We start from the raw sequence: 24,383 nt of genomic DNA, 5'->3' as shown, positions 1-24,383 counted from the left end.
AGACGGGGTTTCACCATCTTGGCCAGACTGGTCTTGGAACTCCTGACCTCGTGATCCACCCGCCTCGGCCTCCCAAAGTGCTGGGGTTACAGGCGTGATCCACCGCACCTCACCTACATTTTATTCTGGTCCATGTATATCTGGTCCTATCTGTGGTTTCTGTGTATTACAGGAGGAGGGAGGAAATCTTTCCCTCGGTTCTGTCCTTTCCCCACCGGTTTGTGAGCTCCATCCTTAGTTTAGCCAGGGGGGCAATTGTGTCCATTGGCAACTTCTGGAGACATTTTTGATCGCCATGTTTGGGGGTGCATGGGTGTTGCTGACTTCTAGTGGATGGAGGCCAGGAACGCTGCTCATCACCCTGAAATGCAAGGGACAGACCCCACAGCAAAGAATAAGCCAACCCCAAATGTCATTAGGGCCAAGATTGGGAAACCCTGTGTTAGACAAATCCCATCTCTTCTGGGGGCTCTAGGTTCTTTACCAATGTCCTGTTTGTGTATTCTGGGGCGATGGCACAGTGTCATAACACCTGTGGCTTTATTATTAGATTTGGCAACTGGGAGGCATCCCTGTTTCACACTTTTTTTTTTTTTTCTGAGACAGTGTCTTGCTCTGTTACCCAGGCTGGAGTGCAGTGGCACAATCTCGGTTCACTGCAGCCTCAGCCTCCTGGGTTCAAGCGATTCTCCTGCCTCAGCCTCCCGAGTAGCTGAGATTACAGACACCCGCCACCGCGCCCGGCTAATTTTTGTATTTTTAGTAGAGACAGTGTTTCACTGTGTTGGCCAGGCTGATCTTGAACTCCTGACCTCAGGTGATCCACTCGCTTCGGCCTCCCAAAGTTCTGGGAGTACAGGCGTGAGCCACGGTGCCTGGCCCCTGTTTTACACTGGAGGAAAGTGAAGCTCAGAGAGCGGTTTCTTCAGCTCGATTACAAGTGGTCGAGCCCAAACCCACTCCAGAGACTGGACCCCTAATCACAATACCAGCCATTCCCCGAGGAGCAGCCGGTGGCTAAGCAGTGGCGAGGTGGGTGGAAACTCGGCCCAGGTCACAGCCCGCCCCCTGGGGGACCTGGTTGGCTAAACCGCCGTGATGACCGGCAGGTCCTGAAACCAATGAGGCAGCGGATCTCTCCCAAGTCCCTAAATGCACCGGGCCCTTTGCAGAAGCGACTTCCAGAAGCTTAAATGCCCTCGACCCCCCCCCGACCCCCGCCCGCCCGAAACCAGACCGCTGACATCTCACCAGGATGGCGGCTTGGTATTTACTTAAGACCTTTGCACATGAATGGTCTGAAGTCGCATAGCATCGCTGGAAGTCGGGTTATTTATTATTATTATTATTATTATTATTATTATTATTATTATTATTATTATTATTTGAGACGGAGTCTCACTGTCGCCCAGGCTGGGGTACAGTGGCGCGATCTCAGTTTTCTGCAACCTTCGCCTCCCGGGTTCAAGTGATTCTCCTGCCTCAGCCTCCCAAGTAGCTGGAATCACAGGTGCTCACCACCACACCCGGCTCATGTTTTGTATGTAGTAGAGACAGGGTTTCACCATGTTGGTCAGGCTGGTCTTGAACTCCTGACCTCAGGTGATCCACCCGCCTCGGCCTCCCAAAGTGCCGGGATTACAGGCGTGAGCCACCACGCCCTGCCGGGTTATTATTAATGATCCCTCCCTTTTTTTGAGACGGAGTTTTGCTCTTGTTACCCAGGCTGGACTGCAATGGCTTGATCTTGGCTCACTGCAACCTCCGCCTCCCGGGTTCAAGCAATTCTCCTGCCTCAGCCTCCCAAGTAGCTGAGATTACAGGCATGCGCCACCACGCCCAGCTAATTTTTGTATTTTTAATAGAGATGGGGTTTCTCCATGTTGGTCAGGCTGGTCTCGAACTCCCGAACTCAGGTGATCTGCCTGCCTCGGCCTCCCAAAGTGCTGGGATTACAGGCGTGAGCCACCGAGCCCGGCCAATAATCCCATTTTATAGTGGATAAACAGGTTCCCAGAAGCAACAGGGGAGGCTGGGGTTGCACAATGATCCTGAGGAGGGTCCCAGCCCTGCTCACGCCTCATCACACAGGCGGCCCCTTGAGGGCCCCCACACCTCCCCTTCCTCCAGCAAGTTCTCGCCTGGGCTGCACTGCCACACACTTTGGGCTCTGAGCCACACACTTTGCTCACATGACCTTATTTTTAAATTTTTATAGTTTTTTTAAGAGACAGGATCTTGATATCGCCCAGGCTGGAGTGCAGTGCTGTGATGGTAGCTCCTTGAAGCCTCCAACTCCCAGGCTCAAGCAATCTTCCCACCTCAGGCTCCCAAGCAGCTAGGACCACAGGCCCACCCACCAGATCCGCCTAATGTTTTTACTTTTCGTAGAGATAGAGTCTTGCTATGTTGCCCAGGCTGGTCTCAAACTCCTGGGCTCATGCTATGCTCCCGCCTCAGCCTCCCAAAGTGCTGGGATTACAAGCGTGACACCCAGCCCCAACATGACCTTACAATGATCCCCTGGAGTAGGACCTCTTTACTGCCTCCACTGTACAACCAAGGAAACTGATGCTCAGGCAGATAAAATACTGATCAGAGGTCTCACGGCTGGGTAGCAGTGAACTTGGCTCTTGAGCTGGGTAGATATCCTGAGTGCAGCTGAGGATCCCCCAGTCCAACCCGCCATGTGGGTGTCCCATGTCTGGGCGGTAAAAGCAGCCTCTATCCATTTTATTTTATTTATTTTTTGAGACAGAGTCTCGCTCTGTTGCCCAGGCTGGAGTGCAGTGGCACAATCTCGGCTCACTGCAAGCTCCACCTCCCAGGTTCATGCCATTCTCCTGCCTCAGCTTCCCGAGTAGCTGGGATTATAGCCGCCTGCAACCATGCCTGTCTAATTTTTTGTATTTTTAGTAGAGACGGGGTTTCACCATGTTAGCCAGGACGGTCTCAATCTCCTGACCTTGTGATCCACCTGCCTCAGCCTCCCAAAGTGCTGGGATTACAGGCGTGAGCCACCGCGCCTGGCAGGCTCCATCCATTTTGACAGCACCAAGCTGCCAAAGTGTTACCAGAAAGGCCCGATCCAGACCCCAAGAGAGGGTTCTCCAATCTCACGCTAGAAAGAATCCAGGGCGAGTTCATAGAGTACAGTGAAAGCAAATTTATTAAGAAACTAAAGGAATAAAAGAATGGCTACTCCATAGACAGGGCAGGGCTGCTGGTTGCCCATTTTTATGGTTATTTCTTGATGATATGCTAAACAAGGGGTGGATTATTCATGCCTCCCCTTTTTAGACCATATAGGGTCTAAAGGTTAACGTCCTGATGTTGATGTGGCATTTGTTTTTTTGTTTGTTTGTTTGAGACAGACTCTCGCTCTGTTGCCCAGGCTGGAGTGCAATGGTACAATCTCAGCTCACTGCAACCTCCACCTCCTGGGTTCAAGCGATCCTCCTGCCTCAGCCCCCCTAGTAGCTGGGATTACAGGCACGCGCCACCATGCCCAGCTAATTTTGGTATTTTTAGTAGAGATAGGGTTTCGCCACGTTGGCCACGCTGGTCTTGAACTCCTGACCTTAGGTGATCTGCCCTCCTTGGCCTCCCAAAATGCTAGGATTACAGGCGTGAGCCACCGCGCCTGGCCAGCCATGGCATTTGTAAACTGTCATGGCGCTGGTGGGAGTGTAGCAATGAGGACGACCAGAGGTCACTCTTGTCGCCATCTTGGTATTGGTGGGTTTTGGCCGGCTTCTTTACTGCAACCTGTTTTATCAGCAGGTTCTTTATGACCCGTTATCTTGTGCTGACCTCCTACCTGATCCCGTGACTTAGAATGCTTTAACCATCTGGGAATGCAGCCCAGTAGGTTTCAGCCTCATTTTACCCAGCTCCTATTCCAGGTGGAGTTGCCCAGGTTCAAACGCCTCTTACAGAAGCACCGGACTGTTCCAAAGCACCTTCTGCTTCCCTTCTTGTCCTCCTCCCACGATGGGGAGCTCACTACTTACTACCTCTCCAGCAGTACCATCTGTAACAAAGTCCTCTCTCAGCCTGGGGGAGATCTGCCTGGGTGCTCCCTACACACACACACACACACACAAACACACACACACACACACACACACACACACACACACACACACACCCCTTCTGAAACCAGAGATGGGGGCTGCTGTCAGCATGGGGCAGCTGGAACATTCAAACATTTCTCCCCAGGCTGGATGGCCAACTCCCCAGCACTCAGCCCCGGGCCTGGATGTCCTGGGGATGAAGCTGTCGCTCGCCTTCAGCCAGGAAGACAAGGAGGGCACGGTGCAGCAGGTGCACCCCCAAGCGCCGGCGACGAGCAGGTGGCCAGCCTGCCACCACTCCATAGCAGTGCCCTTGCTTCTGGTTGGTGAGCGTCTGGATCCCTGGAGAAATTGGATGTGGGGTCACAGGGGCAGCCATGGGGACACCTCCCCATCCAGCAGAAGTGTGTGACAGCAGGCGGCTGGGTATGGTGGCTCACGCCTGTAATCCCAACACTTTGGGTAGATCACATGAAGCCAGGAGTTCGAGACCAGCCTGGCCAACATGGTGAAACCCTGTCTTTACTAAAAAATACAAAAATTAGCTTGGCACAGTATGGTGATATGTGCCTGTAATCTCAGCTACTGGGGAGGCTGAGGCACAAGAATCACTTGAACCTGGGAGGCAGAGGCTGCAGTGAGTCGGGATCACGCCACCACACTCCAGCCTGGGCGACAGAGTCTCACACACACACAAAAAAGTATGTGACAGCAAACCCAATGTGTATTGCCCTTGAGTGGGGATAAACCAATGGAGCAAAATACATGCATGTGCAGGTTCAAAGTTGGTGCTCAATAATTGCTCAGTCAACAAATGAACACCCCTCAGAAGGAAAAAAATGAGGGAACTGGGAAGCCAAATGCCTTTCATATGACCCCCATTCTAGGTACCAGGCACCCACCTAGGGCTTCCACAATACACGCCTCCCGTGTATAAGCCTCCACAGCGACCACGTGCTGGAAGCAATGTAGGGACACAACACCGCAACCACTGGCCCAGATGTCCAAGATCTGACGCACCTTGGGGCAGGCCTGGTGGGGCTAGGGCAGAATCAGGAGTCAGCACCCCCAATACCCTCCCCTGCCCATGGCCCGACTGCCCTCGCTGAACCCTGATCCCTGTCCTCACACCTGTTTTCTTGACCGCCCATGGTGACCAAGGGCCTCCCAGAGGTGGACATATGGCCGGGCCCTCGTCCCTTTGCCCACGTAGAAGATGGCACGGATGAAAGTCTGAAGGCGCTCAGCTGGGGTCAGTGAGAAGGCTCGGGCTGGCAGGTCCTGAGTCTCCCTGGATGAAGGGGATAGCTCAGACAGGGAAAAGTGGATACAGTGGTCCCCAGAGGCAGTCCTTAAAGTCACAACATATCTTGAACCCATGTCTAGTGACTCCTGATTACAGGATCAGAGAGAGTCAGCGGCTCCCCAAAGACATTCAGCAGCTTTCTTTTTTTTTTTTTTTGAGACAGAGTTTCACTCTTGTTCCCCAGGCTGGAGTGCAATGGCACAATCTCAGTTCACTGCAATCTCCACCTCCTGGGTTCAAGTGATTCTCCTGCCTCAGCCTCCTGAATAGCTGGGATTACAGGCATGCACCAACACACCTGGCTAATTTTGTATTTTTAGTAGAAATGGGGTTTCTCCACGTTGAACACGCTGGTCTCTAACTGCTGACCTCAGGTGATCCGCCCACCTCAGCCTCCCAAAGTGCTGGTATTACAGGCGTGAGCCACCATGGCCAGCCGGGGCTCATGCCTGTAATGCCAACACTTTGGGAGGCCAAGGCAGGAGGATCACTTGAGGCTGGGAGCTCAAGACCAGCCTGGCCAACATGGTGAAACTCCATATCTACTAAAATTACAAAAAAAATTAGCCAGGCATGGTGGCACATGCCTGTAATCCCAACTACTTGGGAGGCTGAGGCACAAGAATCACTTGAACCCAGGAGGCGGAGGTTGCAGTGAGCCAAGATTGCGCTACTACATTCCAGCCTGGGCGAAACAGTGAGACTCCGCCTCAAAAAAAAAAAAAAAAAAAGAGGCCGGTGCGGTGGCTCACACCTGTAGTCCCAGCATTTTGGGAGGCCAGGGTGGGTGGATTACCTGAGGTCAGGAGTTCGAGACCAGCCTGGCCAACATGGTGAAACCTCGTCTCTACTAAAAATACAAAAATTAGTCGGGCGTGGTGGCAGGTGCTTGTAATCCCAGCTACTTGAGAGGCTGAGACAAGAGGATTGTTTGAACCTGGGAGGTGGAGGTTGCAGTGAGCCGAGACGGCACCATTGTACTCCTGCCTTGGCAACAAGAGTGAAACTCCGTCTTAAAAAAATAAAAAAAAAGAAGAAGAAGCAGCTGATGATTCTAGGGCCAGTCCCTTTCTTAAGGGCACACAGCAAATAAAAACCAATCCCCAAATTTTCTAGTTTCTATTTCTGGGGCTTTCCTGCCCTGAGTACCTGGGGTCCAGCAGCAGATAGGTGAAGCTAGACTTCACGACCCCCTCCCGCCACCTCCTGGCAGGATCTGGCTGCTCAAACTGCTGGGCCAGCGCGTCTTCATCTGCCTGGACATCTGGAATACAGCCCGTCCGCAGGGCTGCAGCCAGTTCTAGGCTGTGCCCTGAAAACTCTGGGCCTGGAAGTCAAGGGAGATGGAGGAAGGGATGATTCTGAGATGGGGAGGAAAGTGGGGCTGAGAGCTGGGGTTCTCCGGGAGATTCCTGGAGGCTCCCTGGACTCCATGTGCCCTGGGAAGACTAACCAGGAGCAATCTGGGCTTCTTCCAGCTGCTGGTGGTACAACTGCCTGGTGAAGGGTGTGATGGGGTGAGGATTCTCACCAAGTGCTCGGAGTCCCTTCAGCAACTCCAAGTCAGACACAGTGGAGACTGGCAGGTGCCGGCAAGGGCCGACAGGTTCCCTGCCACCTGTAGAGCTTGCCTCATCCTCTGTCAGCCAGAGCGTGGCCATGTCACTATCAATGGATGTCTGGTGCTCCCACAGGCAGTGGCAGTCAGAAGCTCCAGGGGTTGGTGTCCGTGGGGGGCTATGAGCTGGACTCCTGTCCAGGAGAGGCATGGAGGAAGGGGAGGACTGGAAGCCAGCAGCATTTGGTGGGGTCAGAGTCAGGGCCTGCAGACGGGCATTCAGTTCTGCCTCCGTGCCCTGAGACCTAGGTACCCTCTGGTTGGCATGGACAACATGCAGAAGTCCCTGCCTGGTCGGTGGCAATGACCCAGCCCAGGGGGGAGTGTCCGAGGCTGGGTCCTCAGCTCCAGAGACCTCAACCGCTGTGACGAAAGAGGCGTCTGAGCTGTAATCCCAGTGCCCTGGAGGGGACGCCGAGCTCCCATGTTTGTCCACAGTTTCAAGGGGAACAGGGAGGCTGGGGGGTCCTGGGTCAGCCTCCAAGCCAATGTCCCTGTTGTCACCTCTGCATGGCTGCTTTTGGAGTGCTATGGAGTCCAGCGTCTCATCGGTAGGTCCAGAGAGGCCTGGGGCTGCAGGTGAGAGTGGGGGCCAGAGAGGAGAGGAGGAGGGATGAGACAGCGATGAGAATAGGATCAAACAGAAAAAGGAGATCAGAGTGTCTGAGGCCGAAAGAGCTGGCCACAAATAGTGGATGTGAGACGGTCAGAACCAATGGGTGGGGTGGGGAAGACCCTGGATGTCAGGGACTGGTCCAGAAGTCAAGCCCCAGCAGCCCTGCAGGCCCTACTCACTGCCAGGTGCAGGCTCGGGCTCCTGAGTCTCTGCCCCGATCCGGGTCCGGGTCCTGGTCCGCGTGTCGAGATCCTGCAGGACTCGCGCGCACTCCAGGTGTCCCTGCTGCAGGGCCAGGTCCAGCGGCCGGAGTCCGTCCTACAGGGGCGCGGTCAGCAGGGGGCGCCCGAGGCCCTCTTACCTTCCTTCCCTCCCTCTGGGCTCACCCAGCCTTTCTTTGCCCGCGCAGTGCCTCCCAACCTGGTCGCGCAGCGCCGGGTCCGCTCCTTGGCTCAGCAGCAGCTCCAGGCCGCGGCGGCAGCCCCACGCGGCGGCCACATGCAGCGGCGTCAGTGCCTCGACAGATCTGGGGCGGCAGCGCAAGAGGGGTCATTGCGGACTCAGCCTCCCGGCAGGAACCCCGATCTCCGCTCTGGGGACCTGGAGCCTTCGTTCTCGGCCTCCCGGATCTCCGCCGTCCACCCTGGTACACTGCCCTTGGAACCTAGATGCTATGACCTCAGGCCAGGACCCAAACCTCTGCCGTCTGACCCTGGTGCCTCCACTCCAATATCCGAACCCTTGATCCCCACTTTGGTCCTAGCGCAGCCCCATTCCACGCCCTCGGTCTGGGACCCCAGCGCCTCCCTCGAGCCCTAGCCCCTGCCCTTGGACCCCCAAGTTCCCTCCCCAAGATCCCCTAAACCCCACCCTCGAGCCCCGAGGCCTGGCCCGGGATGATGGGGCGCCCCTTCCCGGATTCCCAGACTTCGGCTTGGGGAGACCCCGCCCCGGACCCAGGCTCTATCTTACCGAGCGTTGGGGTCCCCGCCTTGGCGCAGTAGGGCCCCGAGGCAACGCAGGCCGCGCGGGTGCCGGGCTCCGGCCGCCAAGTGCACAGCCGCTGCGCCGTCCTCTAGCACCAAATTAGGGTCCGCGCCGCAGCGCAGCAGCTCCTCTACTGCCCTGCAAACACCGCGGTCAGAGTGGACCCCGGCCAAAGACCCCCACTCCTGGCCCGCCCCCGGCCCCGCCCTCACCACGGCTCCTCCTCCCGCAGCGCATCCCGCAACCTGCGAGCCAGGCGGGCCTCCGAGCACATGCCCTGGCTGGGTCCGAAGCGCACCGCCTGGTCGGTCGATTTCCTACTTCCCGCGGGGGGCTTGTGGGCATGCGCCGCTCCTCCCCTCGGCTCGGGGGGCCCCTCTCCAGGGCCGAGCAGGGTTCCCAGCCAGGCTGCCCCGCGCCGCACGGGGGTCCACATCGGGGTTCGAGAGCTTTAGTGTCCTCAGGGGCCCTTGACACCCGGAGGCGCTCAAGCAGGGTCTGGGACCGCCGATAAGAGCCCGGGTGGGAGGATGCCACCGGGTGTGCCACTATCTCATTTAAAAACGGGAAACGCGAAGGCACCCGGCTCGAGTGGGTGGAGCTACGATTAAGAAAGTCCGGGGTGCCCCAGGTCATTAAGTCTCAGGGAATCTTCTTCAAGGGTGGCCTCTGGCAGGGAGCACGGCCTTATGAGAGGCTTAGGCCGGGCACGGTGGCTCACACCTGTAATCCCAGCACTTCGGGAGGCCCAGGCAGGAGGGTTGCTTGAGCTCTGGGGTTCGAGACCAGCCTGGGCAACTTGGATAAACCCAGTCCCTACAAAAAAATACAAAAAACTAGCCGGGCGTGGGTGGCTTGCACCTGTGGTCCCAGCTACTTGGGAGGCTGAGTTGGTAGAATCTCTTGAGCCCGGAAGTTCGAGGATGCAGTGAGCCATGATCACACCACTGCACTCCAGCCTGGGCAACAGAGCAAAACTCTGTCTCAGAAAATAAATAAATACATAAAATAGAGGCTTCAATTTCCAACCCCCAGGCCGAGGGCCCAGCTCACGCCTTTAAGCACAGTGCTTTGGGAGGCTGAGGAGAGAAGATCGTTTGAGCCTACTAGTTTGTTGTTGCTTTTCTTTTCTTTTAGTGAGTGCAGGAGTTTGAGACCAGCCTGGGCAACGGAGTGAGGCCCTATTTTTTTTTTTTTTTTTTTTTTTTTTTTTGAGCCGGATCTTACCCTGTCGCCCAGGCTGGAGTGCAGTGGCGCAATCTGGGCTCACTGCAACATTTGCCTCCCAGGTTCAAGCTATTCTGCCTCGGCCTCCCAAGTAGCTGGGATTACAGGCATGTGCCACCACTCTCGGCTAATTTTTGTATTTTTAGTAGAGATGGGGTTTCACCATGTTGTCCAGGCTGGTCTTGAGCTCCTGATCTCAGGTGATCCGCCCGCCTCGGCCTCCCAAAGTGCTAGGATTACAGGCGGAGACCTTGTCTTTGTTTTATTTATTTATTTATTTTTGAGACGGAGTTTTGCTCTTGTTGCCCAGGCTGGAGTGCAGTGGTGTGATCTCAGCTCACTGCAACCTCCTCCTCCAGGGTTCAACAGCTTCTCCTGCCTCAGCCTCCCCAGTAGCTGGGATTACAGGCATGCACCATCACGCCTAATTTTTTATTTTTAGTAAAGACGGGGTTTCACCATGTTGGTCAGGCTGGTCTCGAACTCCTGACCTTGTGATCCGCCCACCTCGGCCTCCCAAAGTGCTGAGATTACAGCCGTGAGCCACTGCGCCTGGCCAAGACCCCGTCTTTAAAAACAATTTTTAAAAAATTTCCAGTCCCCGTTCTGCGTTGCCCATTTTCAATCCAGCGGAACTAGGACTTCAGTATTTTGGAGGGCTGGACCTCTGAGAGTCTTAGTGTCCCATCTGCAAAATGTGAGAATCCTAACGAGGTTGATGCGGGGATTGAACAGGGGCTTGGGCACAAGGGCCTGACACACGATAGGTTCCAAAAAATGCTCATAGGGAGGAAAAGCAGTCACTCAATAAAGCTGTTTGTGTTTATTTTTGAGATAGGGTCTTGCTCTGTCACCCAGGCTAGAGTGCAGTGGCGCGATGACAGCTCACTGCAGCCTCGACCTCCTAGGTTCAAGTGATCCTCCCACTTCAGCCTCTCAAGTAGCTGGGAATCACAGGCGTGAGCCACCGAGCCTGGCTTAATTTTTGCATTTCCTGTAGAGACAGGAAATGTTGCTATGTTGTCCAGCGTGGTCTTGAACTCCTGGCCTCAAGCAACCCTCCTATCATGGCCTCAGTACTGCTGATGGAGCTCTTAAACCTCCCCCTTAGGGATGTATGATCCAGGCCTGGCTCATCAGAACATCACACAACCCTGGTACATGACTAGCTCTTAATTGAAGGTCATGTATCCCCCCGGGGGAGTCCAATCATATCCAGATGCTGAGAGAACTCTGCCTTGACCTGGATTGGGGTCTGGGGAGTGGTTGAAGCCATCACACACCTTTCCATTGGTTGGGGGGTAAGCAGGGCACATTGACTAGCAACCATGTAGTACCCTCCCAAATGGCAATGTTGTCCTAGCACCTGGACACAGCCAAGCCTGAAGCTGTTCTCTTGGCTTTTTCATCTTTTTTATTTTTGAATTTTTCTTTTTTATTTGAGAAAAGCTCTCACTCTATCACCAGGCTGGAGTACAGTGGTGCAATCTCAACTCGCTGCAACCTCCACATCCCGGGGCTTTTTCATCTACAAGAAAGCAGCCACTCACCTTTGCTCAGTGGCTAAGTTTTCCATCACTTGCAATGAAGATGATCCCCATTAACACAAAGTGATTGGCGTGGACTTCGGTTAACGAGTCTCAAATTTTTATTTTGATGGCAAAAATCACACAGGGAAGAACAAAAATTATCCATGACAAACTAGGAGTGGAAATGGGCTGGGAGACACAGAAAATGGGTGCCCACAGTTCCTGGGATCCCTCCTGGAATCCTGGGTTTCCCTCCTAGGACCCTGCAAGGTACCCTACGTGCCTCCTGGAACCCCCCCACCCCGGAGGTCCCAAGGAACCCAGTTTGAGAACCAAGGCTTTAGGCCAAGGACTTCCTTGCACAAGAAGGTGCAGATGTACAGGGATGGTTCAGACAGTGGCCTCAACCTCAATGGCTTCATCCTCCTCCTCCAGCAGGCTGTAGGAAGCATGGCTCTGGCAAGGCCGCTGCAGGGGGTGGGCCAACAGTTTCGCCATGCAGTTGTGCAACTCCAGGGCTGGCCCAGCCAGTGCCACCTCATACTTGTAGCTGGTACCCTTGGTATCCAGGCTGCCCATGAAGGCAAACATATCCTGCCGGGGAGGCGGGGGTCAGTGAAGGGCTGTTCAGGCAGAGGTTACCCCAACAGGCCCTTCATATCCCTGGAGGGCTTCTCAGAAGAGGGGACATCTGGGGTGGGTTCTAAAGGGTGAAGAGGAGTTTGCCAAGCAGAAACCATTCACACATTCAGCAAACATTCCCCGCCATGGACCCAGTGTTAAGGATCTGAAGAGGTCCCAGTCATGGCCCCCAAAGAGTCCCCAGTGTGGGCCGGGCGCGGTGGCTCACGCCTGTAATCCCAGCACTTTGGGAGGCTGAGGCGGGCAGATCACAAGGTCAGGAGATCAAGACCATCCTGGCTAACACAGTGAAACCCCGTCTCTACTAAAAAATACAAAAAATTAGCCGGGCGTGGTGGCAGGCACCTGTAGTCCTAGCTACTCGGGAGGCTGAGGCAGGAGAATGGCGCAAACCCGGGAGGCGGAGCTGGCAGTGAGCCGAGATCACACCACTGCTCTCCAGCCTGGGCGACAGAGCGAGACTCCGCCTCAAAAAAAAAAAAGAGTCCCCAGTGTGGAGGCACACAGTCAGATACAGACACATTCTCCTGGCCCCCACTTTGATCCTTCTTGAAAAACAGGGAGGGCTTCTCAAGAGGAGGGACTTTTTATTTTACTTATTTTATTTTTTTAATTTTTTTTTTGAGACAGGGTTTCGCTGTTGTTCCCAGGCTGGAGTGCAACGGCACGATCTCGGCTCACCGCAACCTCTGCCTCCCGGGTTCAAGCGATTCTCCTGCCTCAGCCTCCTGAGTAGATGGGATTATAGGTATGTGCCACCACGCCTGGTTAATTTTGTATTTTTAGTAGAGACAGGGTTTCTCCATGTTGGTCAGGCTGGTCCGAACTCCCAACTCAAGTGAGTCACCCGCCTCGGCTTCCCAAAGTGCTGGGATTACAGGTGTGAGCCACCACACCTGGCCGTATTTTTATTTTTTGACACAGGGTCTCCGCCCTGTCACCCAGGCTGGAGTGCAGTGGCTTCATCACAGCTCACTACAATCTCCACCTTTCGAGCTCTAGCGAGCCTCCTGTCTCAGCCTCCCGAGCAGCTGGGACCACAGGCGTACACCACCACGCCTGGCTAGAGGGGGGACTTTTGATTTGGGTACTGAGATATAAGGAGGAGCTGGTCTCAATTCCCTGTTCATAGTTGGGTAAACTGAGGCTCAGAGAAGTAAGTAGTCCACTCGAGGTCCCACAGCTAATTCAGGTCTGGGATGTGAAGGCCCAGCAGGGCCTGGGGAGTCCAAGAGGGATGGATGCTCCAGGCTGAGGGTGCAGCGAGGTCAAAGGCAGGAAGAAAGGGAAGAGGGAGCGGGTCGTGGTGGCTCACACCTGTAATCCCAGCGCTTTGGGAGGCTGAAGCAGGCAGATCACCTGAGATCAGGAGTTCAAGACCAGTCTGGCCAACATGGTGAAACCCCGTCTCTACTAAAAATACAAAAATTAACCTGGTATGATGGCAGGTACCTGTAACCCCAGCTACTCGGGAGGCTGACACAGGAGAATTGCTTGAACCCGGGAGGCAGAGGTTGCAGTGAGCCGAGATCATGCCACTACACTCCAGCCTGGGAGACAGAGGGAGACTCTGTCTCAAAAAAAAAAAAAAAAAGAAGAAGAAAGAAAAGCAAGCAAGCAAGCAAGAAAGAAAGGAACGCAGGGAACGTTGGAGATGGGGGAGGCAGGACTCAACATGTTGCCTGGACCATCGTCCCAATGGCTGCCACCCCATCAGTCACAGCAGACAACTGGGAAACGGCTGTTCAATGACCAATGCCATGACCTACCCCAACCAGGGTTCCAGGGGTATCAAATGGAGGTAGAGACCCCCAGACCCAGTGCAGGTGTGTTCCAAGACATCCTGTCCACACCCGCCTGCTACTCACACCTGCTGCAGCCTCTCACCTTCCAACTCATCTCCTCCTCCTTCTCCTCAGTGCCATTGTGGATGTAAACAACGTCAAAGAAGAAATATGGGCACTGGAACATTTTCTGCAGGGGAAGTAAAGAACACCAGCCTCTGGGGCTTGGGTCACCCCGTGCCCCATGACTATAGCTCCCCCATTTCTGCCTCAGACTCTGGGAACTTACCTCTAGGCACCCCAGCCTCTGTGGTTGGAAGTCCCTCCTGGTGTCTAACCACCATCCTCATGGCTGCAGGCACCCCTCCCTCTCCCAGGCCTCACCCACCTTCATGGGCTCCGTCAAGGAGAACTGGGGCTGGCAAGGTGGACGGCTGTAGACAAGGATGGTGCGGACCACATATGGCGGGGGAATCGTCTGCACGTTCTCTGTGACCGGAAGCTCAGTTTTCTGCTGGCTGCATACCCGGGAGGAGGGAGCAGTCAGAGCAGCCTGTGGGGGTCTGCCCCTCTTATCACCCTGAGAGAGACCCCAGATGCTCACCGGGCAGGTGAGGCCCCACTGATGTCTCCCAAGTTCACTGCTGCCTGTGAGGCATCCCATAAGCGGTTCCCTCTGCCCTGAGCATGTTCCCAGCCCCACCCCTCTAAGTGCAATGGTGAGATCTCGGCTCACTGCAACCTCTACCTCCCAGGTTCAAGCGATTCTCCTGCCTCGGCCTCTCAAGTAGCTGGGATTACAGGTGGCCAGCTAATTTTTGTATTTTTAGTAGAGACGCGGTTTCACCATGTTGGGCAGGCTGGTCTCAAACTCCTGACCTCAGGTGATCTGCCCGCCTCGGCCTCCCAAAGTGCTGAGATTACAGGCCTGAGCCACTGGGCCCGGCCACCCTCAGTGTCCTGAACATCCCCCATCACTGCCGTCAGCTGGAGCTGCCTAGCAGCATGTGCATCTCCACCAGCCCCCATGCTCCCAAGACACACATAAATGAGGAATTGCTCGGGGCGAGGTAGGAAGGGAGGAGGCTTTAAGGCTCCCTAGATTACTTCTGTGCCGTTTGGAGCTTTTTCCCAGAAGTGACCCTTCTCTTTGAAGGTGAATAAGAATTTCCCCACAGGGGACTTACATGAGGCTGAAAAGTCCTTCCAGATCTGGTGGGGGTGCTAAGGAGAAGGCTAGTAGAGCACGAGTGAGCGGGAAACAGGTGGCTTCCCCGATCCCGATACCAGAGGAGACCCGGCACCCCTAGGGACGCACCATGTGACCCTGGCCAAGTCACTTGCCCTCTCTGACACACAAATTCCCCTCAGCATGGATCACAAAATAGGATGCTGGTACCGGATGACTTTAAGACTCTTGGTATGCCAGGCATGGTGGCACACGCCTGCAATCATAGCACTTTGGGAGGCCAAGGCGGGTGGACCATCTGAGGTCAGGAGTTCGAGGCCAGCCTGGCCAACACGGTGAAACCCTGTCTCTACTAAAAATACAAAATTAGCTGGGCCTGATGGCACATGTCTGTAATCCCAGCTACTTGGGAGGCTAAGACAGGAAAATTGCTTGAACTCGGGAGGTGGAGATTGCGGTGAGCCAAGATCGTGCCACTGCACTCCAGCCTGGGCAACAAGAGCGAGACTCCATCTCAAAAAAAAATATAATAATAAATAAGATCCACAGGGAGCCATGGGAGGTTTTGGAGCAGAGATGGGATGGGATGGAATCTAATTTATGTTTTAAAACAGAATGGGGCCGGGTATGGTGGCTCATGCCTGTAATCTCAGCACTTTGGGAGGCTGGGGTGGGCTGATCACTTGAGCCCAGGAATTCAAGACCAGCCTGGGCAACATAGCAAGACCCCATCTCTACAAAACATTCAAAATTAGCCAGGTGTGGTGGTGCACACCTGTAATCCCAGCTACTTGGGAGGCTAAGGCAGGAGAATCGCTTGAAGCTGGGAGGTGGAAGTTGCAATGAGCCAAGATCGCATCACTGCACTCAGCCAGGGCAACAAGAGCAACAGGAGCAAAAATAAAAAAAGGTCCCCTTTCCTGCATGGCTGGGGCCACTCTCCTCAAAATGAAAAGAGCCAGGGGTGTCTTGTCCTCCTGGAAAAAACTCTCACCATTTATTCCTTTTTTAACTTACGAGAGTCCTATTCTATTTCAGTTTTGGGCCACACATGAGCCTTTTATGTCCAAATTACCATAAAATGTCCTGCGCCCAGGTTCAAGTGGCTGTAGGAACAATGGTGACACTTCTGTCACACACTGCCATTTATTGAGCACTGACTGTATGCCCAGTCCTGTGTGAGGTGATCCCCTTGTGCATGAATTTTGGACCTCCTGAATACAAATCAGGTATTTCTTTCTTTTTTTTTTTTAAAAAAGACGGAGTCTCACTCTGTCTCCCAGGCTGGAGTACAGTGGCAAGATCTCAGCTCACTGCAACCTCCGCCTCCCGGACTCAAGTGATTCTTGTGCCTCAGCCTCGCAAGTCGCTGGGATTATAGGCATGGACCACCATGCCCGGACCAAATCAGGTACTTTTGCTTCTGTATTGTTACAGCATCTCCATGGGGTAGGCAACTTTGTGCCTTCCACAGTACAGATGGGGAAACTGAGGCTCAGAGGGGTGACTTTCCCAGCCTTGGCAGATCTGAGATCTGAACCTCAGCCAGCCAGAGTCATGACTTAGACTTTCCTGGGCCCCAAGGATGACAGAAGGAGACAGCCCCCTTCATGGGGACATCTCTGCCAGGAAGGATACTGAAGGTGGAACAGGAGGCCGTCTCCAGATCATAGAGGCAGCTACAGAGCTCGCGGGGGTCGGAGGTCAGGCCAGACAGCTGCAGGGAAGCAGAGGCCTCAGTGCGATGCTCCCCGGGCCCCAGGGGACCCCAGGGCACCCAGCGCCTGCCGCAGCCTCACCCAGGCCGTGTCATCGTTCACCACCACCAGTGCAAACTCGTGGCTTTTGTCGATCTTGTGTTTTGTCCGCACGAACATCTCAATCATCTTCTGGGAGACATTGAGGGCGTTGGTTTTGGAGCTGGGGAGGCAGAGAGTACAGGGGAATTAAGGTTCCCTCAGGGCCGGGCACAGTGGCTCACGCCTGTAATTCCAGTACTTTGGGAGGCTGAGGCAGGTGGATCACGAGGTCAGGAGTTCAACACCAGCCTGGTCAAGATGGTGAAACCCCATCTCTACTAAAAATACAAAAAAATTAGCCAGGCGTGGTGGCGAGTGCCTGTAATCCCAGCTACTCAGGAGGCTGAGTCAGAGAATTGCTTGAACCCAGAAGGCGGAGGTTGCAGTGAGCTGAGATCGCGCCACTGCAGTCCAGCCTGGGCGACAGAGTGAGACTCTGTCTCAAAAAAAAAAAAAAAAACAAAACAAACAAAAAAAAACTTCCTTCAGCCACCCTCCTCTGAAAACCCTGCATGATAAGGCCCTGGAGGTATAGGTCATACTGCAGGGGTGTGGCGGAGCTCAGCCACAAACCCAGTCTGGCTGACATCGGAGCTCCTGCCCTCTCCAAATGGGTCCCTCTGCGCAGCATGGGGCTCAAGTTTCCCCTAGAGTCATTGCAGGAACTTTGCTCAGCCATGGGCAGTTGTGAATGCCACTGAGGGGAAGAAGGTGTCACCTTCAACATCTCCAAGGAGGTCCTCAAGCCCCATCCAGGTCCTGCAACCCAAACTGCCCCCCACTCCAGATACAGCTGCAGGCAGCACATGACTCCAGACAAGGGCTTCAGGGCCAGCCAGGCCTGGGTCCGAATCCTGGCTCTGCCCCATTACTCTGAGCCCTTGAGCAAGTCACTTTGCTTCTTGGCGTCTCCAACTCATTGCTATGAATGGAGCCTCAATGGGCCATAGCCTTAACATTACCAGTTGTCCTTGCTACTCTTTTTTTATTTTATTTTACTTTTTTTGAGATGGAGTTTCGTTCTTGTTGCCCAGGCTGGAGTGCAATGGCGCGATCTTGGCTCACCGCAACCTCCATCTCCCAGATTCAAACGATTCTCCTGCCTCAGCCTCCCGAGTAGCTGGGATTACAGGCACGCACCACCGTGCCCAGCTAATTTTTGTATTTTTAGTGGAGGTGGGGGTTTCACTATGTCGGCCAGGCTGGTCTCGAACTCCAGACCTCGTGATCCGCCCACCTTGGCCTCCCAAAGTAATGGGATTACAGGTATGAGCCACCAAGCCCGGCTTCTTTTTTCCTTTTTTTAAAGAGACAGGGTCGGCTGGGCGCGGTGGCTCACACCTGTAATCCCAGCACTTTGGGAGGCCGAGGCAGGCGGATCATGAGGTCAGGAGATTTGAGACCATCCTGGCTAACACGGTGAAACCCCATCTCTACTAAAAATACAAAAAAATTAGCCAGGCGTGGTGGCAGGCACCTGTAGTCCCAGCTACTCGGAGGCTGAGGCAGGAGAATGGCATGAACCCGGGAGGCGGAGCTTGCAGTGAGCGGAGATCGCACCACTGCACTCCAGATTGGGCGACAGAGCGAGACTCCGTCTCAAAAAAAAAACAAAAAAAAGGGACAGGGTCTCGCTCTGTCGCCCAGGCTGGAGTGTGGTGGCAAAATCATAGCTCACTGCAGCCTCAAACTCTTGGGATCAAGTGATCCTCCCAGCTTGCCCTCCCAAGTAGCTGGGACTCTAGGAGCACGCCACCATGCTCGCTAATTTTTTAAAAATACATTTAGAGGCTGGGTGCTCATGCCTGTAATCCCAGCACTTTGGGAGGTCAAGGCAGGCAGATGACTTCAGATCAGGAGTTTTGAGACCAGCCTGGCCAACATGGCAAAACTCTGTCTCTACTAAAAATACAAAAATTAAACGGGCATGGTGGTGCATGCCTATAATCTCAGGTACTCGGGAGGATGAGGCACAAGAATGGCTTGAACCCAGGAGGCAGGGGTTGCAGTGAGCTGAGCTCATGCCATTGCACTCCAGCCTAGGCAAGAGAGCGACACCCTGTCTCAAAAATAAATAAATACATACATACATACACATACATATATATATTTTATTTTTTTAGAGATGGGGTCCATGTTGCCCAGACTAGTCTCGAACCCCTAGCCTCAAGTGATCCTCCTATCTCAGCCTCCCGAGTCACTGGGATTACAGGCATGAGCCACTGCACCTGGCTCTTGCTAATCTCTGATACTGCCAAGCCTGAAGCCAGACCAAGCTGGTGTGAGTTTCAGAGTGAGAGCCCCGTATCTTTTGGGCTGGACCCTCCCTGCCATGGCTGCATGTTCAAGCCCTAAAATGTCCCTCTTACCCGTTGAACGACTCCAGCTTTGGCAGTGACATTTCCTCTGACAGGTCCAGGCAGATAATCTGCAAGGTAGTTGGAGGGTGGTGAGCGTCCTCTGACCTTAACGTTGGCCCCCACACCACTCACTGGCCCTCTTCAAGCTGCCTTGTCTGAAAAGGCAGTATGGTGACCTCTAATCCTCAGCCAAGCCATCTACTTTGAAAAGCAATGGCTTAGAAGAATGGGCACTGAACTGGGAGTCCAAGTAGATAAGTAAATAAATGAGCCAGAGAATGTGTGACACAGAAACACAGAAATGAGGATATAGTGGATCGAACTGTGGCTCCCAAAAGACATGTCCACCCAGAACCTGAGAATGTGACCTTATTTGGCCTGGCACAGTGGCTCACACCTGTAATCCCAGCACTTAGGGAGGGCAAGGTGGGTGGATCACTTCAGGTCAGGAGTTTGAGACCAGCCTGGCCAACATGGTGAAACCCCATCTCTGCTAAAAATACAAAAAATTGGCCAGGTGTGGTGGCACCTACCTGTAATCCCAGCTACTCAGGAGGCTAAACCAAGAGAATTGCTTGAACCCGGGAGGTGGAGGTTGCAGTGAGCCCTGATTGAGCCACTGCACTCCAGCCTGGGTGACAGAGTGAAACTCTGTCTCAAAAAAAAAAAAAAAGAGGCCAGGCGTGGTGGCTCATGCCTGGAATCCCAGCACTTTGGGAGGCCGAGACGGGAGGATCACGAGGTCAGGAGATCGAGACCATCCTGGCTAACAGGGTGAAACCTGGTCTCTACTAAAAAAATACAAAAAAATTAGCCAGGCGTGGTGGCGGGCGCCTGTAGTCCCAGCTACTTGGGAGGCTGAGGCAGGAGAATGGAGTGAACCCAGGAGGCGGAGCTTGCAGTGAGCCGAGGTTGTGCCACTCCACTCCAGCCTGGGCGACAGAGCGAGACTCCGTCTCAAAAAAAAAAAAATTTGTTGGGTGTGGCGGTGAGTGCCTGCAATCCCAGCTACTTGGGAGGCTGAGGCAGGAGAATCATTTGAACCAGGGAGCCGGAGGTTGCAGTGAGCTGAGATCACGCCACTGCACACCAGCCTGGTGACAGAGCGGGACTCCGTCTCAAAAAAAAAAAAAAAAAAAAGAATGTGACCTTATTTGGAATCAGGGTCTCTGCAGATGTAATTAAAGTAAGGGTCTTGAGATAAGATCCTGTTTTGATGACAAGTGTCCTTATAGGAGACAGAAGCGGAGAAGACACAGAGACACAGTGAGAAAGGCTTTATGAGGATATGAGGACTGGACAGAATTAGGCAAAGACAGCCAGGCGCGGTGGCTAACACCTGTAATCCCAGCACTTTGGGAGGCTGAGGTGGGTGGAACACAAGGTCAGGAGATGGAGACCATCCTGGCTAACACGGTGAAACCTCATCTCAGTGGCTGGGTGCGGTGGCTCACGCCTGTAATCCCAGCACTTTGGGAGGCCGAGGCAGGTGGATCACGAGGTCAAGAGATCGAGACCATCCTGGCTAACACGGTGAAACCCTGTCTCTACTAAAAAATACAAAAAATTAGCCAGGCGTAGTAGCGGGCGCCTGTAGTCCCAGCTACTCGGGAGGCTGAAGCAGGAGAATGGCATGAACCCGGGAGGCAGAGCTTGCAGTGAGCCGAGATAGCGCCACTGCACTGCACTCCAGCCTGGGCAACAGAGTGAGACTCCTTCTCAAAAAAAAAAAAAAGAAAGAAAGAAACCCCATCTCTACTAAAAATACAAAAAATTAGCCGGGCATGGTGGCGGGCGCCTGTAGCTACTCAGGAGGCTGAGGCGGGAGAATGGCATGAACCCAGGAGGCGGAGGTTGCAGTGAGCTGAGATCACACCACTGCACTCCAGCCTGGGTGACAGAGCAAGACTCCATCTCAAAAAAACAAAAAAAAAAAATTGGGCAAAGACTAGAGTGATGCAGCCACAATCCAAGGAATGCCAGGAGCCACGAGAGGCTAGAAAAGGCAAGAAAGGGTCAGGCAGAGTGGCTCATGCCTATAATCCCAGCACTTTGGGAGGCCAAGGCAGGCGGATCACCCAAGGTCAAGAGTTCGAGACCAGCCTGGCCAATGTGGTGAAACCCTGTCTCTACTAAAAATATAAAAATTAGCCGGGCGTTGTGGTGGGCACTTGTAATCCCAGCTGCTCGGGAGGCTGAGGCAGGAGAATTGCTTGAACCCGGGAGGCAGAGGTTGCAGTGAGCCAAGATCGTGCCATTGCACTCCAGCCTGGGCAACAAGAGCGAAACTCCATCTCAAAAAAAAAAAAAAAAAAAGACAGACAAAATGAAGAGGCAAGAAAGAATTCCCTCCCTTAGAGCCTCCTGAGGGGCCATGGCCCTGGCGACACCTGACTTCTGGCCCCAAGAACTGTGAGAGAATAAATTTCTCTTGTTGAAAGCTACCAAGTCCACGGTGACTTGTGGCAGCCACAGGTAACGAATACAAAGGGAATGTTTGCAGTGTTAATCCCAAAAGACAAGATGCTAGGTTCCCTAGCATCTCAGAGCCCCAGGCCACCCCCTCTACTTACCACTTTCTCTGGACAGTTGACCCTTGGTGTCCGAATTTGGACCTCAGGGGCTGGCGGGGGCACCTGCCAGGACTTAGGGCCGGCTCCTGAAGTGTTGAGGCTCCCATCATCAGCACTGGCGGCCTCACCCTCACCCTCGCTGCGGCTGCCCACGCTGGCCTGTGCCCCTACTGCCCGGTCCTCAGCCCCTTCAGGATTGGAGCGAGTGCGGGGCCGAGGCTCTGCCGAGTGCTCCTCTTCCTCCTCCTCCTCTTCAGTGGGGCTGCTGGGCTCTGCCACTTCCATGGCTCCTGTGTGGCTAGATGGAACACGGACAGGGGAAGCCAGAATCCTCCCCTTGGAGTTTTAAAAACATTTGGTTACGGTCGGGCACGGTGGCTCATGCCTGTAATCCCAGCACTTTGGGAGGCCGAGGCAGGTGGATCACCTGAGGTTGGAAGTTCGAGACCAGCCTGACCAACATGGAGAAACCCCGTCTCAACTAAAAATACAAAATTAGCCGGGCGTGGTGGCGCATGCGGATAATCCCAGCTACTCGGGAGGCTGAGGCAGGAGAATCGCTTGAACCCGGGAGGGGAGGCTGCGGTGAGCCGAGATCCCGCCACTGCACTCCATCCTGGGCAAAAAGAGCGAAACTCCGTCTCAAAAAAAAAAAAAAAAAAAAGATTGGTTACTAAGAAGGAAGAGGGGCGATGAGCCGCTTACTGATGATGAGTCACTCCTCTTAGGGAGTCACTTTCCTCAGCTGCAGAATGGCTGCCTTTTACACCTCTCAGCCGAGCAGCCACTCCGACATAAGATAACAGTCCCCCCTCTTTTTTCCTCTTTTTTTTTTTAACGTAGTGCTAGCCCCATGCCCCTACTCGGCCAGTGAGCACATCCCAGCTCTCTGGCCACTGAAAATGGCTCAGGGATGGGCACATGACCCAAATCAGGCCATTGAGTGGCAGCTCTGCAACTTCTAGCAGTGTCATCAAGGAAAAGAGACTCTCATTAGAGTTGCAGAGCTGGTAGAATAAAGTTGAGAGCTGTGAGGGGCCCCTTTTGCCTCGGTAAAAAGCGAAATGGTCTCCACCGAGAAAACTGCAGATCGAATTCTGACCACCTGGACCCAGCTCCTGTTAGACCCAATCTATAAGCCACCAACTTCCTTTTCTTCCTTAAGCCAGATTGAGTAGGGTTTTCTGTTACCTAAAACTGAAAATGTCTTGGTGAATAAGGGAATAATAACCTCTAGGACACCCTCGTCCCTAGCGGGTGTCTGCATGAGGGAGAAGCAAAATATTAGTACTGTGGTTCCCCTTGGAGAGAAACAGGACGCGAATGGAGCAGTTTGTCTATCTGGGAAATAGGCACGGGCTTCCCAAGATGGTCTTTGAGCGCCTTGCAGTCCCCACACCTCTAAGAAAAACAAGGCTTTAGCGGCAGCAAGAAGGATGGAGGCTACACTGCAGGAGAAACCAGAAATAAAGGCGGAAGCCCCAGGAAAGGCGAGGAGCTGGATCTCTTGGGGCAAAGGGAGCTGGGCCCCTAGGAACGGGCCCCACACGCTTTCACCACCCACCTTCGGCTCACCGTAGCCTGAACCTCCTTCTAAATCAGCCGCCGACTCACTAGGAAGCCGCCATCTTTACAGCCGGAAGTTGTACGGCGCAGCCCCGACGCCTCCTGGGAAATGTAGTTCAGCGGGCTGCAGAACAAGCAGAGACAGAAACTGGTTGAGGCTAGAAAGAACTTGGAAACTGATAGGCTGAAACTGGGTTGGGGGTGGGGTTTGGAGTGAGAGCTGCCTGGAGCTGGGTGCGGCGGGACCTGGAATGTGATTGGCTACACTGGAGCAAAGTATGAAATGTGATTGGATTAAAAAAATTAGTGAATTTTTGTTTTTGGCCGAATCAGACTACAATAGTCAGTGCTTCTACCGTGATAGGCTGAAACGTGGAATAGAGGTGGAGCTTGCAATGTGATAGGCTAAGAGGGACGGAGAAGGCCGATTTAGGGAAAGAGGAGGAGCTGATTGGTGATTGGTGGAGCTGGCCTGAGCCTCCATGTGGGGCAGGTATTCCCATGTGGGTGTGGCCTGAGCATCCAGGGCCCTTCCCAATTACTTAATTCTTGTTCCTTATTTTACATATATTTGCATGAATCAAAAAATACTTACTCTGGTCTTATTGGGTCACTGTAGGTGGAGCGAAGCTAAGTCGGGCCTATTTCAAGCCTACCTCTTTTTTCATGGCTTTTTTTTTTCTTATTTTTAGAGACAGGGTATCGCTCTGTCGCCCAAACTAGACTGCAGTCACGCGATCATGGCTAGTCACTACAGCCAAGCGATCGCTCAAGTAGCTGGGACTACAGGCGAGGACCACCGCATCAGACTACCCTAGGCTTCCTTCCTTTTTTTTTTATTTTTATTTTTTAGATGGAGTCTCACTCTGTCGCCCAGGCTGCCGTTGTCTTCTTAGTGCACACTTCCCCCTTAGCCCCAGAAGTATTTATTTATTTATTTTTATTTTTTTGAGACAAGAGTCTTGCTCTGTCGCCCAGGCTGGAGTGCAGTGGCTCAATCTCGGCTCACTGCAACCTCCACCTCCAGGGATCGAGCAATTCTCCTGCCTCAGCCTCCCAAGTAGCTGGGATTACAGGCATGCACCACCAGGCCCGGCTGAGATATATATAG

The 24,383-nt window shown here is 53.7% G+C and overlaps 2 protein-coding genes across 9 annotated transcripts, besides 6 other annotated features; both read right to left on the bottom strand.

Annotated features, from left to right (window-relative positions):
• Positions 1-3,151: 3,151 nt before the first annotated feature.
• Positions 3,152-8,897, bottom strand: ANKLE1 (ankyrin repeat and LEM domain containing 1). 5 transcript variants are annotated; one of them, NM_152363.6, is made up of 9 exons: positions 8,816-8,897; positions 8,589-8,741; positions 8,037-8,142; positions 7,796-7,934; positions 6,836-7,573; positions 6,532-6,709; positions 5,208-5,367; positions 4,979-5,117; positions 3,152-4,418 (listed from the first exon to the last, which is right to left on the bottom strand). In NM_152363.6, exons 1-9 carry the CDS (start codon positions 8,875-8,877, stop codon positions 4,246-4,248), a joined length of 1,848 nt encoding a protein of 615 aa, NP_689576.6. In that variant the 5' UTR covers positions 8,878-8,897; the 3' UTR covers positions 3,152-4,245. The 5 variants fall into 5 exon arrangements, 4 of the variants coding, with proteins under 4 accessions (NP_689576.6, NP_001265374.2, NP_001265372.2 ...); NM_001278445.2 differs by having other exon boundaries at positions 6,914-7,573; positions 8,589-8,736; NM_001278443.2 differs by having other exon boundaries at positions 6,914-7,573; positions 8,849-8,897.
• Positions 8,886-8,975: a silencer, noted in NCBI's record as "silent region_10334". NCBI's record gives its function as "represses an Ori minimal core promoter by ATAC-STARR-seq in GM12878 lymphoblastoid cells {active_cell/tissue: GM12878}" and the evidence as "EXISTENCE:reporter gene assay evidence [ECO:0000049][PMID:35858748]".
• Positions 8,986-9,035: a silencer, noted in NCBI's record as "silent region_10333". NCBI's record gives its function as "represses an Ori minimal core promoter by ATAC-STARR-seq in GM12878 lymphoblastoid cells {active_cell/tissue: GM12878}" and the evidence as "EXISTENCE:reporter gene assay evidence [ECO:0000049][PMID:35858748]".
• On the bottom strand, positions 11,461-23,355 carry BABAM1 (BRISC and BRCA1 A complex member 1). 4 transcript variants are annotated; one of them, NM_001033549.3, is made up of 9 exons: positions 23,271-23,355; positions 21,707-22,042; positions 19,143-19,201; positions 16,774-16,894; positions 16,613-16,691; positions 14,973-14,997; positions 14,174-14,303; positions 13,889-13,975; positions 11,461-11,953 (listed from the first exon to the last, which is right to left on the bottom strand). In NM_001033549.3, the coding sequence occupies exons 2-9, from the start codon at positions 21,989-21,991 to the stop codon at positions 11,750-11,752; spliced, it is 990 nt and encodes a 329-aa protein (NP_001028721.1). In that variant the 5' UTR covers positions 21,992-22,042; positions 23,271-23,355; the 3' UTR covers positions 11,461-11,749. The 4 variants fall into 4 exon arrangements, with proteins under 4 accessions (NP_001028721.1, NP_054892.2, NP_001275685.1 ...); NM_014173.4 differs by having other exon boundaries at positions 21,707-22,004; NM_001288756.2 differs by having other exon boundaries at positions 21,707-22,004; positions 23,282-23,355.
• Positions 22,867-23,578: an enhancer, noted in NCBI's record as "NANOG-H3K27ac hESC enhancer chr19:17378029-17378740 (GRCh37/hg19 assembly coordinates)". NCBI's record gives its function as "activates a minimal SCP1, AML or CMV promoter by ChIP-STARR-seq in naive H9 embryonic stem cells {active_cell/tissue: H9 hESC(naive)}" and the evidence as "EXISTENCE:reporter gene assay evidence [ECO:0000049][PMID:30033119]".
• Positions 22,867-23,585: a biological region, named in NCBI's record as "NANOG-H3K27ac hESC enhancer GRCh37_chr19:17378029-17378740".
• Positions 23,086-23,585: an enhancer, noted in NCBI's record as "active region_14262". NCBI's record gives its function as "activates an Ori minimal core promoter by ATAC-STARR-seq in GM12878 lymphoblastoid cells {active_cell/tissue: GM12878}" and the evidence as "EXISTENCE:reporter gene assay evidence [ECO:0000049][PMID:35858748]".
• Positions 23,846-24,305: an enhancer, noted in NCBI's record as "active region_14261". NCBI's record gives its function as "activates an Ori minimal core promoter by ATAC-STARR-seq in GM12878 lymphoblastoid cells {active_cell/tissue: GM12878}" and the evidence as "EXISTENCE:reporter gene assay evidence [ECO:0000049][PMID:35858748]".

The sequence above is a fragment of the Homo sapiens genome, chromosome 19, assembly GCF_000001405.40.
Source record: "Homo sapiens chromosome 19, GRCh38.p14 Primary Assembly".
Taxonomy (NCBI): Eukaryota; Metazoa; Chordata; class Mammalia; order Primates; family Hominidae; genus Homo; species Homo sapiens.
The sequence above is the reverse complement of the archived record's forward strand: the minus strand, read 5'-3'. Positions and strand labels throughout refer to the sequence as shown.

Excerpts from the sequence above, each read along its gene's own strand:
- BABAM1 (NM_001033549.3), bottom strand. The coding sequence starts at position 21,991 with ATGGAAGTGGCAGAGCCCAGCAGCCCCACTGAAGAGGAGGAGGAGGAA. Across the intron at positions 16,895-19,142 it reads AAGCTGGAGTCGTTCAACGG|CTCCAAAACCAACGCCCTCA; the intron begins GTAAGAGGGACA and ends CTGCCTCCCCAG. Across the intron at positions 11,954-13,888 it reads AGGAGGAGATGAGTTGGAAG|GATATGTTTGCCTTCATGGG; the intron begins GTGAGAGGCTGC and ends CCTCCCCGGCAG.
- ANKLE1 (NM_152363.6), bottom strand. The coding sequence starts at position 8,877 with ATGTGCTCGGAGGCCCGCCTGGCTCGCAGGTTGCGGGATGCGCTGCGG. Across the intron at positions 8,742-8,815 it reads CTGCGGGAGGAGGAGCCGTG|GGCAGTAGAGGAGCTGCTGC; the intron begins GTGAGGGCGGGG and ends CGGTGTTTGCAG. Across the intron at positions 7,935-8,036 it reads ACCCGGCGCTGCGCGACCAG|GACGGACTCCGGCCGCTGGA; the intron begins GTTGGGAGGCAC and ends GCGCCCCTGTAG.